The sequence below is a fragment of the Homo sapiens genome, chromosome 14, assembly GCF_000001405.40.
Source record: "Homo sapiens chromosome 14, GRCh38.p14 Primary Assembly".
Taxonomy (NCBI): domain Eukaryota; kingdom Metazoa; phylum Chordata; class Mammalia; order Primates; family Hominidae; genus Homo; species Homo sapiens.
Window position 1 is genome coordinate 91,698,576 of NC_000014.9, and position 16,165 is coordinate 91,714,740.

Genomic DNA, 16,165 nt, shown 5'->3' on the forward strand with positions numbered 1-16,165 from the left:
TTGTTGGTTGAGAGTTTTTAACATGAAGGGATGTTAGGTTTTATCAAAGGTTTTTTCCACATCTATTGAGATCATTATATAGCTTTTGCTTTTAGTTCTATTTATATGGTAAATCACATTTTTATGTTATTCAAAAAATATCAATAGCTTTTGGGGTACAAGTAGTTTTTTGTTACATGGATGAATTATGTAGCTGTGAATTCTGAGATTTTAGTGCAGCCATCACCCAAGTAGTGTACATTGTACCTAATGTGTGGTTTTTTTTATCCCTAGCTCCCTCCCAACCTCCTCCTTCTGAGTCTCCAAAGTCCATTACATCACTCTGTATGCCTTTGCTTGCTCATAGCTTAGCTCCCACTTATAAGTGAGAACACATGGTTTTTGGTTTTCCAATCCTGTGTTACTTCACTTAGAATAATGGCCTCCAGCTCCATCTAAGTTGCTGCAAAAGACATTGTTTCATTCCTTTTTATGGCTTAGTAGTATTCCATGGTATATGTATGCCACACTTTCTTTATCTGTTCATTAGTTGATGGGCACTTAGGTTTGTTCCACATCTTTGCAATTGTGAATTGTGCTGCTATAAACATATGTGTGCAAGTGTCTTTTTCATATAATGACTTCTTTTCCTTGGGTAGATACCCAGCAGTGGGATTGCTGGATCAAATGGTAGATCTACTTGTAGTTCTTTAAGGAATCTCCACACTGTTTTTCATAGAGGTTGTACTAATTTACATTCCAACCAGCAGTGTATAAGCATTCCCTTTCCCCCACATCCATACTGCCCAAAACTATCTATAGATTCAATGCAATTCCCATCAAAATCACAACATCATTTTTCACAGAATTAGAAAAAAAATCCTAAAATTCATATGAAACCAAAAAAGAGCCCAAATAGCTAAAGTATTCCTAAGCAAAAAGAATAACATTTCTTGATTTGCATATGTTGAACCAATTTTGCATCCCAGGAATGAAGCCTACTTGATCATGATGAATTAACTTTTTTTTTTTTTTTTAGATGGAGTTTTGCTCTTGTCACCCAGGCTGGAATGCAATGGCGCGGTCTCGGCTCACTGCAACCTCTGCCTCCCGGGTTCAAGAGATTCTCCTGCCTCAGCCTCCCGAGTAGCTGGAATTACAGGCACCCACTACCACGCCCTACTAATTTTTGTATTTTAGTAGAGATAGGATTTCACCATGTTGGCCAGGCTGCTCTTGAACTCCTGACCTCAGGTGATTTGCCCACCTCAGCCTCCCAAAGTCCTGGGATTACAGGCATGAGTCACCGTGCCCAGCCTTGAATTAACTTTTTATTTTTACTTTTTAATTTTATTTATTTATTTATTTTAATAATATTCATTTATTTATTTTATTATACTTTAAGTTCTGGTATACATGTGCAGAACATGCAGGTTTTTTGCATAGGTGTACATGTGCCATGGTGGTTTGCTGCACCCATCAACCCATCATTTACATTAGATATTTCTCCTAATGCTATCCCTCCTTTTGTCCCCCACCCCTCGACAGGCCCGGTGTGTGATGTTCCCCTCCCTATGCCCATAGGTTCTCATTGTTCAACTTCCATTTATGAGTGAGAACATGCGGTGTTTGGTTTTCTGTTCCTGTGTTAGTTTGCTGAGAATGATGGTTTCCAGCTTCATCCATGTCCTGCAAAAGACATGAACTCATTCTTTTTTTATGACTGCATAGTAATACGCTGCTGGATTCCTTTTGCTAATATTTTGTCAAGAATTTTTCTGTCTACATTCATCAAAATATTGGCTTCTAGTTTTCTTTTTTTGTTGTGTCTTTGCCGATTTTGGTATCAGGGTGATGCTGGCTTCATAGAATGAGTTAGGGAGGAGATCCTGCTCCTCAATTTTTTGGGAATAGTTTCAGTAGGATTGGTGCCAGCTCTTCTTTGCATGTCTAGTAGAATTTGGCTGTGAATTCATCTGGTCCAGGGCTTTTTTTTGTTCATAGGTTGTAAAGACATGGAATCGACCTAAGTACTCATCAATGGTGGACTGGATAAAGACAATGTGGCACACCATGGAATACAATGCAGCCATAAAAAGAATGAAATCATGTCCTTTCCAGCAACATAGATGCAGCTGGAGGCCATTATCCTAAGTGAATTAACACAGGCAACAGAAAACCAAATACCATATGTTCTCACTTGTAGGTGGGAGCTACTCACAGACCTGAAGTATGGCGACAATAGACACTGGGGACTACTAGCTGGGGGAGGGAAGGGAGCAATGGTTGAAAAACTAACTATTGGGTGCTATGCTCACTATCTGGGTGGTGGGCTCATTCATATTCCAAACCTCAGCATCACACAATATACCCATGTAACAAACCTGCACATGTACCTCCCCTCAAATCTAAAATAAAAGTTGCAATTATTAAATTAAAAATTTTAAGAAGAATATTGCCATAGGAGTAAGATAGGGGAAAGATCATTGGAGGACAGGAAGCCTTGAAGCTAGGTACTGCATGGATCATCCATATGGATGGTGAAGTCACCAAAAATAGTGACAAAAGTCAAGTGGAGAGGAAGGCAGGGACCCAGAGATTAAACTTGTAAATGAATGAATGTGAGCGGTGAGGAGGTCACCAAATGCTGGCAACCAAGAAAAGTTAGAGGGAGGTAAAGTCTGAGTTCAAAAAAGCTCCATGTTTCAAACAAGAGGACAGGAGTAGTGATTAAGCAGTAATCCTAAGGAGCAAAGACAACAACCCTCACCCTGGGTTTTGAAATATGTGATATGTGGGAGGGCTGAGGGGAAAGAATGTCATCTGAGGATGACCCAGTACTCTTTATGGAAAGAAAGTTAAGGGACCATTCAGAGAAAAAGTGAGTGATATGGGGGAATTTGTTAATGACAGGCCACAAATTCTAATGAAAGGATTTGGGTGGATAGAGCGGGATAAAAGTTTGAATCAAATTAGAGGACATTCAGAACTGTATGTGGGATAGGATAACCAGAAATGATCTGCGGAAGCTTATGTTCTGGTAACTGATGGGAGGCCTGATGGTTTATGTCTTAAGAATATCCTAGAGGAGGAAAGGGGGTAATAAGTCCAAATTGGAGTACATGGGGCTGCTGCATAGCTGTTCCCACCATTAACTCCATGTGGTATGAAGGCCAGGAGGACAAACAAGGCCTCGCAAAGGAACTGCTAGTTGGGTGTGGTGGCGTGTACCTGTAGTCCCAGCTATGTGGGAGGCTAAGGTAGGAGGATTGCTTGAGCCTAGGAGTTTGAGGCTGTAGTGAGCCATGATTGTGCCTCTGCATTCCAGCCTGGGCAACAGAGAGAGACCCTGTCTCAAAAAAAAAAAAAAAAATTGCTGATTTAGGCAGTTGCAGCTTGATACTGTGAGAACTTCCTTTATTGCTTCAGCACAGTGGTGACCAGTTGGGGAAAAGGTGCTTTCACCTAAAGAACCTGTTGCTGAAGTTGTTTGTTTTCTTGAGAGGTTGAGGTGGCCTCATGAGTGTGATCCCAAGGAATTAAGACTGGCGCTTCTCTCCCATGACTTTCATTTGTAAGGCAGAATCAAGCATGAGGAGTTCAGAATGACCGCTCTCCTATGGCTCACAGAAGTAAGGTAGGTATTGGTGTTTGGATAAAGACGAGGAGGAGGAGGTCCTGGCTAGGACCTATTCACAGAACAACATAAGAAAAGGAGCCAAGTTTCTATCTGGATTGACATAGTGTAGAATATGACAGCAGAGAGTGGAAAAAGACACAATTATTAGGTTGGTGCAAAAAAAATCGCGGTTTTTGCCATTAAAAATAATTGCAAAAACCGCGATTACTTTTGCACCAACCTAGTAAAACTAAAGGAATTCCACAGAAGCAGACTATAAGCCATTAGGAAGTCAAAGAGATTTGGGCAAGGTTATTTGTCTATCCCTATACTGATGCATACTGTTTTAATCTATTGCTTTATAATAAGTCATGCTAGGACAAATTTTTGTTTTGTTTTTTTTCTCTAAAATTATGTTTGTTATTCATGGTGTATCATTCTCCCATATGAATTTTGTGTTTGGCTTGCCAATTTCTACACCCTCCCTGACACAAAAAAGAAAACACACACACACACACACACACACACACACAAACCAAAAACATTGTTATAATTTTTCTTGGAATCATATTGAATTGATAAATTTGTAATACATTTTATTTGTAATAAATTTATTTATAAAATAAATCTTTATAATACCAGAACTTCCTGCTTATAAACATGAAATCTCTTATTTATTTTGGTCTTTTTTTATGACCTTCATTAGTTTTATAATTTCTACACAATAGGCCTTGCAACTCCTTTTTTTATTCCTGGGTACTTTTTGGGATTTCTTACCTTAATAGGATTTTTTAAATTATAATCTTTAATTAGTCCTTGGTGGAGTGATTTTTATACATTGTTATTCTATCTCACAGCCTTCTAGCATACCCATATTTGTTCTGAGTTTTTCTACAGATCTTTTTGGATTTTTTTGTAGGTATACATATTATCTACGAGTAATAAAATTTTGTTTCTTATTTTTTAAGTTTTAAATATATTTTCCTTTATATTCACTGAATTTGGGGTCTAGGAGGTCATCAATTAGCTAGGAACAATAATTAAAATAATACTATTAGTAGTTGAAATGTGTAATGACATTGTGATATTGTGATATAACGAGAAATACGTATTTGGTTTTCGTCCCTGGCTCCTGATAGAGAACTCCTAAAACCTCCAGAATTTCCTGCATGATGGAGTGCTAGGAACATCCTTTGTTATAACATTTGGTCTTTGGCCCCAGTTCCTGATACAGAACCCCTAAACTCCTTGGAATTTCCTGGGTGATGGGATTGTCTTTTGTTCTAATGAAGCAACTCCTGACAGACTCCCAGATACCTTTAAGATGTGGGGTGGTCACCAGTAAAAGCAAGCCACGATTAGAAGCTTAGAGCCTTCAGCCCCACAGTGCATCTCCCAGGAAGTGGGGAGGGTGTGGAGACTGAATAAATAATTGATCAATGCCTATGTGATAAAGCTTCTCCTTACAGTGCAGGTTTTGGAATGCTAAAACACATCTACATACCAGGGGTGTGGCGTGTCACAACTCCACGGGGACAGAAGCTCCTTTTCTTGGGAATCTTCTGGACCTTGCCCAACTGTTTACTGTATCCTTTGTTTTGACCTTTATAATAAACTGGCAAACCTAAATAAACGTTCCCCTGAGTTCTGTGAGTTGTGCTAGCAAATTATTGAACTCAAGGAAGGATTTGTGGGACCTCCCCAAATTATAATTAGTTGATTAGAACTACAACCTGGGACTTGTGACCGGCATTTGAATTGGGGGACAGTCTTGTGGGACTGAGCCCTTAATCTGTTGTTGGCTGGAGAGGGGGGTCTGTGCTAACTCCAGATAGCTAGTGCCAGAATTGTATTAAATCATAGGACACCTACTCGGTCATCCACAGAGAACTGGAGAATCACTCGGTGTGGAAAATCCATACATTTGGTATTAGAGTGTTATGAAATGGATATAGAGAGAAACAGTTGTTTCTTTCCCTATATAGATGCTCTCAGATATTACAGTAGTAATGAAAAAAATGCAAACATAAACTAAGTAATGTGGTATTTCAAGAACAAAAATACCTATTTATACATGGTAGGAATAGCAGATAATCTCTGGGAGAAAGTAACATATTAATGGAGGGCATGGGATAAATGAAATTAGGAGACACACTAAAGTCACAATTAACATGGCAAAAAGTCACAGTAAGAAAACATACTTAGTATATCATACTTGGAAGTAGACAAGATACAGTATTGAATAATAAATTTTTAGGTATTTTTAGGAAACAATTTTCCTTCCCTATGTCTATGCATTTATTTCTGCTGCCAGTTAAACATTACTGTTACAAAATATAAAAGGCCAATGTCAACATTTAATGAAGCTGTAGACCTACCATCAACTATTGTATCCACAATGAAGCCTAGTAATGCCACATCATTGGCACAGGGGCATTTTGTCACTTTGAGATCTACCACATGTGGATATAATTTACTGATTTCACTTTCTGGAATCACATCCCCAGGAGTCCACTGAAGAATCGGTTCTGTGGAAATCAAATTTGGGTGTTTAAATTGTGGGAGCACCCTTGAAAATGGATGCTACTTTCCTTTAAAGGTTTTAAAAGAACTATGTAAAGAAACTATTCTATAGTTCAAAAAAGGTGCATTACCTCACTCTGCATTGGTTAAAAATCAGTCAGTGACTATTTTCCAGGATATAAGGAGTAAAGTCTAATTCCCCTTGGTGGGGGGCTGGCAAGGTTACATTGCAGAAGAGCATGTGGAATGAGAGAGATTGCTTTGGCCACATTTGAAAAATACCATTTGCCACAGGATCTATCCCTAGAAATGGAATTGCTGGATCACAGAATACGCACATTTATAACTTCTGAGCCCACTCATTTACTTTTTGTTCTCTTCCCAATCCCACTGAAATAGCAGTAGATATATAAAAATGGGAATAAATCCAGAGTAGCAGTGGAGAACAGGGACAGTTATCATTAGTGGCCAAGAGACTGAGAGGGATTTCTGGAAGGTAGTTGAAAAATACTATTTGCCACAGGATCTATCTGTATAAATGGAATTGCTGGATCACAGAATATATTTATAACTTCTGCTTCTAGAGCCCACTCATTTACTTTTTGTTCTCTTCCCAATCTCATTGAAACAACAGTAGGTAGATGAAAATGAGTAAAATCCAGAGTAGCAGTGGTGAACAGGGACAGTTATCATTAGGGGCCAAGAGACTTAGAAGGATTTCTGCAAGATAGAAGTTGGGAATGAGATGCAGAAGAGAAAGCAATCAGAGGTGAAGCATCTCCAATGCAGCACAGGCAGAATAGCAGCACTAGTGGTGAATAAGGTCTTTCACGTGGCAAACCAGGCCTTCCAGAATCTGACGTCCTCTTGGTTCCTCAGCTTTACTTCTTGCCAGAACTGGCCTCCCATTACAGGCTCTAGTTTGTGGGGCTTTGAATATCTGTTTTTCTCACAACCCTATTTTTCAGTCCTCAATGTGAATGTCTCCCTCTTTGGGAAGCCTTCCATGACGCCCTAGAATGAGTGAGGCTCTCCTCCCAGGTGCTCCAATAGGACTCTGCACTCACTGTAACTAGAAGAATCAGGGTACACTCTTCCTCACCAGACCAGGGTAGACAATGAGCCTTTCGAAAGAACGTCATCAGACAAGGCGTCACAAATTTTAAAACTTAAAATATTACTTTTGGATATGCAAAGGATTGGAGCTAAAGTCGAATTTTCATGCATTAATAAAAGGGAGGGTTTTTTTTCTTTTAGAAAAAAATGAGAAAAAAAAGAGTACAAAAAGTAAGCCAGGGCAATTTGAAAGACAACTGCTGTCTGAATTTCAAAAATAGTCAAAGGACTTTTAAAAGCAGAGATAACTGATAACCAGTTATTTAGCTATTTACATTCTCCTCTGTCTCCCCAACTTTCAATAAAATCTGCTACAAACCCAAAGACTTTATGTGATATTTTTTTCACTTTGTGCAAAGCAAGAAAACAAGCTAACTTTTCATCTGGGTTGACGTAGTGCAGCACAAGGACAGCCAAGAAGGGAAAGAGACACAATCTCTAACTACACTAATTCACCAGGAAGTCACTCCAGAATTCAAAGAAATGTGGGGCAAAGCAGCTGACGTTGCAGGGTATAATATTTGTTTGCAGACCATTCACACCCAGGTCAGGGAGATTTCAGCTTACCACTGGACATCACGGAGCTGACAATGCCCCCCTACTTATATACAAGTTCCTGAAGTCAGGTAGTATATCTTAAGCATTTTAAGAACAAGGAACTGATTAAAAGTTTTGACTGCTACTAAGAAGCTAAAAAGGGGACAGAAAAGTGACCAATATGAAGGTCACTGGTGACTGTGATTAGCAACAGTTTGAGTAGCGTGGAGGAGATGGAAACAAATGAGTGGTTTGGGGTGTGGATTGGATATGAAGAAATAGAGACAAGGTTTTACACTCTCTTTTGAGTTCAGTAGTGAATAAAGATTTCTAACTCTAGCCTTAACTCTTGATTCCTATTTCCCAGTGTCTGCTTCTCCTGTCTTCAGCATTTTGGTGAATGATATCATCCTCTACTTGAATGCTTGAGTAAGAAATCCAGGCATCATCCTTGTTAATTCTGTTTTCCCCCATCTTAGTCCACCAAGAAGCCATAGCAGCTCTACTTTCAAAATCTATTCTGAAGGCTCTGCTCACCACCTCCACTGCTAATGCTACTGTCCATCTACTCCAGACCTTCTCAAGGGGACTATTGCAACAACTGCTACCAATTTCCTTTATTCCATTCTTGCTATCCTTCCTCAAGAGTTATTCTCTACATAGCAGCCAAAATGGTCTTTTCATTATAAAAGATAAATCAGAATTTATTAGTTCTCTGCTTAAAATACCCCAATGGCTTTAAGTTATAATTACAATAAAGTCCACACTTTTTACCAAGATTCCTGCCAGCTTCTCCAAACTCATGATCCACCACTCTGTCATTTACTATGCTTCAGCAACACTAGTCTCCCTTTAGTTCCTCAAACAGATCAATCTCATCTCCACATCTGGAGCTTTCAAAGATCTACCAATTTGTGAAGCTTTTTGCTGCAATTATACCTCAGTACATTCTAAACAAATGTAAGTTAGCATTTCAGATCTTTTAAAAATTGATATAACAATTTTATATTGATATTTCAGTAGTTAAAAAGTAGCATAGGATATCAAACTATCAGAGTCCCAAAGACAGTATTGCAATTACTATTGAATAATTAGTAACATTTTTTTTTTAATTTGGAAGCTACCTAAAAAACTACTTACTTTTTTGGAATAAGTAAATATAATCAACTTTATAAGCCATTGTTTATAATGACCCTCAATGTGGCCACAGTAAAATATGTACTTCCTTTTTTTTTTTTTTTTTTTTTTTTTTTTTTTTTTTTTTTTTGAGACACAGTCTCACTCTGTTGCCCAGGCTGGAATACAATGGTGCAATCCTGGCTCACTGTAACCTCTGCCTCCTGGGTTTAAGCGATTCTCCTGCCTCAGTCTCCCAAGTAGCTGGGACTACAGATGTGCATCACCATGCCTGGTTAACTTTTTTTTTTTTTTTTTTTAAGTAGAGATGGAGTTTCACCATGTTGGCCAGGCTGGTCTCAAACTCCTGGCCTCAAGTGATCTGCCCACCTCGGCCTCCCAAAGTGCTGAGATTACAGGCATGAGCCACCATGCCCAGCCTGTATTTCCACATTTCTATAGCACTCTTTGCAGATCTTTGTTAATAATTTATCCACATGTATTTAATTCTTTATCCTATCAGATTGTGAGTGCCTCAAGGGTCATGATTATCTCCTATTTATTTATTTATTTTTAATCTCTAGGACCTTAGCACAGAATCTGGCATATAGCGGATGTCAAAGTTTGTTGAAAGAATATATGAATTCCATTTTACTTCTGTCTGTTGGCATTTACCTCGAATAACATCCAATAGAGTTCCTTCAGTAGCATAAATATTTAGTCCATGATGTAAAGTGATTCTTACTAACCATTCTTCTACAGCTGCAATATCTGTTTGAAAACAAAAGGCAAATAATCAACTATTTTTTCATATGTTGTGTTTGGTGAAATTTAAGGATATGTGAACATTACCAACAATGATAGCCTTTCCTTTTCCAACCATTTTGTTGGTATTTATATGTGAAATTTCATACGTTTTCCCTATAAACATTTTGCTCATAAAATAATGGAAAAAGAATTATGAAGTGATCTTACCACCATAGCAATGAATCTAGATACTAATATTTATGTCATAATTTTTCTCCTAGAGCTGTAGGGGCTTGATAAAAAGCAAATTGTGACTCTTCTTGTGAAGCAGACCATGATTAATTAAAATGTATCATACAAACCCTAAGGTGAACAACAAAAAAAGCTTTTAAGGTATAACTAATAAGCCAATAGTGGAGATAAAATGGAATCATAGAAAAGAATTAATATGAATGAAGACAGAAAAAGAGGAGAAAAGCAAAACAGAGAAGATTGAACAAATAGAAACAACCTGCAAGGTGGTAGATTTTAATATAACTATCCATATCAACAATTACATTAAATGTAAGTGGTCTAAAATATCATCTAAAAGACTAGATTTGACAGATCAGGTGTAAAAATCAAGATTAAACTATATGTTATTTATAACAAACTTATTTTAAATGCAAAAGCATAAATAAGTTAAAAGTAAAAGAATGGATAGGGCCTGTGGAAGCCAACAGCAGTAGCTTTAGCCTGGGAGCTGCTGAAGTGGCTGTAAGCACAGGCCAAGGCTGAGGTCGAAACTGAAACGGGGGTTCACTCATGAAGAACACACCTGGTCAAAATGGTCTGGCTGCACAGGCCCTCATGTCCACCCAGGCATCTAGGCAGGTCTGTGCGCTGTCATGGCAAGGCCATGGCTACACTGGTGGCTACTAAAGCAGCCAGTGCCCAAGTACATCAATTGCTATCTGTGCCTCTTGCTGTCACCACTCTCCATCAAGAAGTTCCTGGACTTTGGGAGAGATAATGGCTACAGAGAACATCATATATGATTTCACAAAAGGAGATTCCCGTGCTACTGGCTAACACAGTGAATGAAGCCAATTTTCTGCTGGGTAAGTGGTTTAACAGGCCTTCAATGGGATTGGTTCAAAGTTGGTATATGCAGAACTTTCTTGAAGTTTTAGAATAGAAAAATAAGGGCCAGGCATGGTGGCTTATGCCTGTAATCCCAGCACTTTGGGAGGCCGAGGCGGGCAGATCATGAGGTCAGGAGATCGAGACCATCCTGGCTATCATGGTGAAGCCCGGTCTCTACTAAAAATACAAAAAAAAAAAAAAAAAATTAGCCGGGTGTGGTGGCAGGCATCTGTAGTCCCAGCTACTTGGGAGGCTGAGGCAGGAGAATGGCGTGAACCCAGGAGGTGGAGCTTGCAGTGAGCCGAGTGAGCCACTGCACTCCAGCCTGGGCAGCAGAGCGAGACTCCATCTCAAAAAAACAAAAAAAAAGAATATAAAAATAAGAGCCCTGAAGATCCACAGGTCTTAGATAACTTTCAATAAGTACTGATGAAAGCCAGAAAAATGTGGTTTCTATAGTGGTACATGGAGTGATTGAACATAAGAAAAATTATGTGTTTGAGTCTTTTATTAGCAGTACAGCCAGTATCTTCCAGAATGGTTTTGTCCCAACTCCATTTCTTCCCACATGCTTATTAACTAGCATGCACTTCTGTTTGATGGTGACACTATCCCTGCTCATTCTAAACACAGAAGAAGTATTGATCTCACCTGTAATGTGGCTGATATAGTGAACAATGTATATGAAACAGCCAAGAGGCTGTGTGAATAGTATTAGCTGGTAGCTCCAGAGGTGGAATTTGAAGAGTTCAATGCCAAAGCTCCAGACAAACCTATTCGAGTAGTTTATGTGCCGATACATCTGTTATACATGCAATTCAAGAACTCAACGAGAACAACAGTAGCACTCCATGAAGACAGAAAATAGAGATACTTGGCTGTTAAAACCTTTGTTATTTGGGTTAAAAAAAAAGATTTCTTCATTAAGTGACTGAGGTGGTGGTGTCTCACTTTGAAAATGTATCTTTTTTAAACTATATGTATTCAAATTCTAATAGATATAGCTGTAGCCCATAAGAGTTGTCCCTTTGGCTGGATTCAGTTAAAATTCACCATTTTTTTTCATCTGCATGCCGTATATTTTTAAGGAGATCTAATACTATGTGATGGAATGAATGGGTATTGGTGCTGTCTCTTATTTAAAGGCTGTTTTAAGTGAATCATTTGAGAGACTTCCAGTTTTTAAGACCTCTACTTGGCACTATTACAAAACTACACCTGATGATTGATGTGATACTAGCAGTAAACCCAGAGATGCTTCAAAATATAAGACTAAACAGGAAAAGGTCAGTACTGATAGAACTTTCTAGTCCTCTATGTGAAGAAAGATTGTCTTTTGTAAGTCAATCAGAGAGAACGCCTTTCTCTACCAACTCTTGAGCATGGCACCATAACTACTCCAGTGGCTGAATGTTTATTTCCTCCATGCCAGCTGGATATTTTCATGGAGCCTTTCCTGTAGCCACTCTGGCTCTTCCATTAAACTAGTAACTTGAATAATTTTTTTTACCATATCTTGCTGTGGTGTGGTTAGTGACACAAAGAAAGAGCTTCTCTAGAGCTCTAGCATCCTCATAACCTCCACCTCATTATTGTAGAGTTGAGTGTCTACAGTCTCCACAGGATTCTGAACTTTCTTCCCATTCTGGATGTAGCATATACCCACTGTGACCAAATATAATGCTTGTCTCAAACCACTGATTAGGGGCTCAGCGTATGTGAAACTTAAAGACATCAGCTGAGTCCATCTGATAATTCAGTGCCAGGGTCCTTCCTTCCTCATATGCATATCTCCTCCACTGTCTTAGACTTTTGTCTTCCTCCACCTGATTATATTTTCATCATGAGTTATGGGTACTTTTGTGTTAGAGCTTACTCACTGATGCACTGGTTTTATTTTATTTATTGATTTTTTGAGACAGAGTCTCTGTCTCCCAGGCTGGAGTGCAGTGGCGCCATCTCAGCTCACTGCAACCCCCACTTTCTGGGTTCAAGTGATCCTCCTGCCTCAGCCTCCCAAGTAGCTGGGATTACAGGCATGTGCCACCACACCCAGCTAATTTTTGTATTTTTAGTAGAGACAGGTTTTCACCATATTGGCCAGGCTGGTCTTGAACTCCTGACTTCAAGTGATCTGCCCACCTTGACCTCCCAAAGTATTGGGATTACAGGCATGAGCCACTGCACCTGGCTGGTTTTAAGATTCATTTGTGCACTTCCATTCTGCTGATGAAAGTGTTCCAAAAGTTGTTTTGAATAAAAGGTGAAAGGATGAAAAAATATGACACTAATCAAAAGAAAGCTGTAGCAGCCATATCAATATCTGACAAAGGAGAGTTCAGATCAATGCAATATCAGAAATAAAGAGGGACAATACATATGACAAAGGCATGATAACCCTAAGTGTAGACATGCTTAACAACACAGCTTCAAAATATGTAAATCAAAAGTTATGTCAAGAGTACATGGGGCATCTACTAAATAAGCCATAAAACACATTTTAATAAATTAAATTGCTATCACATGAAATATGCCCTCTAAACATAATGGAATAAGCTAGAAAAATCAATAACAGAAAGACATCTGAAAAATTCCCCAATATTTGAACATTTTACAACACACTTCTAAAAAACCATGTATCAAAGAGAAAGTGCTGTGGGGAATTAGAAAATATTTTTAATTGAAAGAAGAGGAAAACACAACATCACAATTTATTGGATGCAGATAAAGCAATGCTTAGAGAGAAATATATAGCAGTAAAATACTTGCAGTAGAAAAAAGAAATCTCAAATCAATTACAGTAAGTTCTCACTTATAATCATCAATATGTTCTTGGAAACTAGGACTTTAGGCAAAACAATGTATAAATAATGAATATAATTGTATAAATAATGAATAGAAACCAATTTCACAACAGGCAAATTGATATAAACAAGAGTTAAGTTTCTATGGCATATATCTGGTCACAAAAGCATCACCAAACTTCTAAATAAAGACCCCAAATTCTTCTAATATTAAATATTAAAATAAATGTGAGCTATGCATAGATTTTAAAAAGATTAATAAAAACAAGTAAGATAATTACTTACCCAATTTTTGGTGAATCAGTAAGTAATGGTAGTCATAGCGGTGGTGGATTAAATAAAGGAATAAATGTTTGCAAAGCAAAAACTGTAAGGAGCATCCTCTACCACTTGCAGTTATAAAACAATAACAAACATGGCAGGCTAACTGAGGGCTTTTGTATTGCATCGTTTACTGTCATGCATTTGTTTGTATGATTATCGTATACTTAATAAATTTTTACTTTATAATAATTTGTAAGTATTCATTCATTCATTTTCTAGCCTGCTTATTTCAGTTCAGAATCAGGGGAGCCTACTCCAGCAGCTCAGGAACAAGGCGGGAACCAACCCAAGATTGAACGCCATTTCTTCACAAGGTGCACTTACACACACACCCAAGCTCAGTCATACGGGGACAATTTAGACACACCAATTAACCCAACATGCACATCTTTGGCTGTGCTAGGAAACTAGAGTACTCAGAGAAAACCTACGCAGACATGGGGAGAACACGAGCACTCCACACAGACAGTGGCCCTGGCCAGGAATTGACTTTTCTTCCTCATCAATATTATAATGAAATGATGTTGAATGAAATGAGGTTATTCGAGGATCTGCTGTATATGAAGCAGGCTTTGGAAGATAGTAAAGAGTTTGTAAAGGGTCAGATAGTAAATATTTGGGGCTTTGTATGTTATATGATATCTGTTACACTACTTCAACTATACCACTGTAGCATAAAAGCAGCCATAGAAGACACATAAATAAATGAGCATGATTGTGTTCCAATAAAATTTTATTTACAAAAATAGGCAGTAGGCAGGATCAGGGGTCAGTACTTTGCTGACCCCTGATCTAAAGATTCCCAACTTAACAAACTAGGAAAAAAAAAAGAAGCAAATTAAACCCAGTGCAAGTAGAAGGATAAGATAAAGAGTGACAACTGATGAAATTAGGAACAGAAAAACAATATACACAATTAATGAAATCAAAAGATGTCTCTTTGAAACATAAAAACCGATGAACCCTTGCAAGACTAATAATTTAAAAAATACAAATAACTCATGTTAGAGATAAAATAGGGAACACCACTACAGACACTATAGATATTCTAAGGATAAGAAGGGAATATCACAAACAACTCCGTGTCCGTAGATTCAACAACTTAGATGAAATGGACATTTTCTTTGAAAGACACAAACTGTCAAAGCTCACTTAAAGAGAAACAGAAAACTTGAATATTCCTAAATCTATTAAGGGATAATGAATGTGTATTTAAAATCCTTTCACAAAGAAAACTCCAAGCCCAGATACCTTCACTGGTTAATCTCACCAAACATTTAATGAAAGGGTGACACCAATTCTATAAAAACTCATCCACAATATAGAAAAGCAGGGAACTCATCCCAACTCATTTTATAATGACAACCTTACTCAGATACTAGAATGAAATAAAGACATTCCAAGAAAAGAAAATAAATCTCCATACTGATAACCTAGGAAACCTACTAGCCAAATGAATTCAGGAATATATAAATAAGATAATACATCATGACCAAGTGTTGTTTGTCCTAGGATTCCAAGACTGGTTCAAAATTCAAAAAGGAATCAATGTAATTTATCATATCAACAGACAATTGTAAGCAAATCCTTATAATCATCTCAATAGATGCAAAAAATCATTTAACAAGATTTGACACCAATAATAAAAACTCGGCAAACTTGTAATGAAGGAAATTTCTTCAACCTGATGAAGGGCGCCTATGTAAAACATGAATGTTTTTTCCCTAAAACTGGAAACAAGGCAAGGATGTCCTCTCTTACTATTCCTTTCATACTGGAATCATACTAGAGGTCCTACCAGTACAATAAGGCAAAAAAAAAAAAAAAGAAAAAAAGAAAGAAAGAAAATGAATACATACTGGAAGAGAAGAAATAAAATTATCTCCATTCCTAAATGAGTGATTATCCATGTAGAAAATCCTAAAGAATATATTAAAAGCTATTAGAACCAATAAGTGAATTTAACAAGATTGCAGGATACAAGATCAATAAACAGAACTCAATCATTCTTCTACATATGAACAATGAACAATTGGAAATCAAAATATTAAAAAGTACCACTTACAATAACACTCCAAACCATAAACTACTTTTTTTTTTTTTTTTTTTTTTGAGATAGAGTCTTGCTCTGTCACCTAGTCTGGAGTGCAATGGTGCAATCTTGACTCACTGCAACCTCTGCCTCCTGGGTTCAAGCAATTCTCCTGCCTCAGCCTCTCGAGTAGTTGAGATTACAGGTGCCCTCCACTGCGCCCGGCTAATTTTTGTATTTTTA

The 16,165-nt window shown here is 37.8% G+C and overlaps 1 protein-coding gene and 1 pseudogene across 1 annotated transcript in view; one reads left to right on the forward strand and one right to left on the reverse strand.

The window, feature by feature from the left end:
- Nucleotides 1–16,165, reverse strand: part of CATSPERB (catsper channel auxiliary subunit beta) — a 151,389-nt gene that overhangs the window by 117,878 nt on the left and 17,346 nt on the right. Inside the window, exons 6-7 of the mRNA NM_024764.4 lie at nucleotides 9,566–9,661; nucleotides 5,977–6,126 (exon numbers count right to left, since the gene is read on the reverse strand). Of these exons, the coding sequence (NP_079040.2) occupies nucleotides 5,977–6,126; nucleotides 9,566–9,661 (246 nt within the window). The remainder of the gene's footprint in view (nucleotides 1–5,976; nucleotides 6,127–9,565; nucleotides 9,662–16,165) is intronic.
- LOC100128939 (pyruvate dehydrogenase kinase 3 pseudogene) lies at nucleotides 10,540–12,069 on the forward strand (annotated as a pseudogene).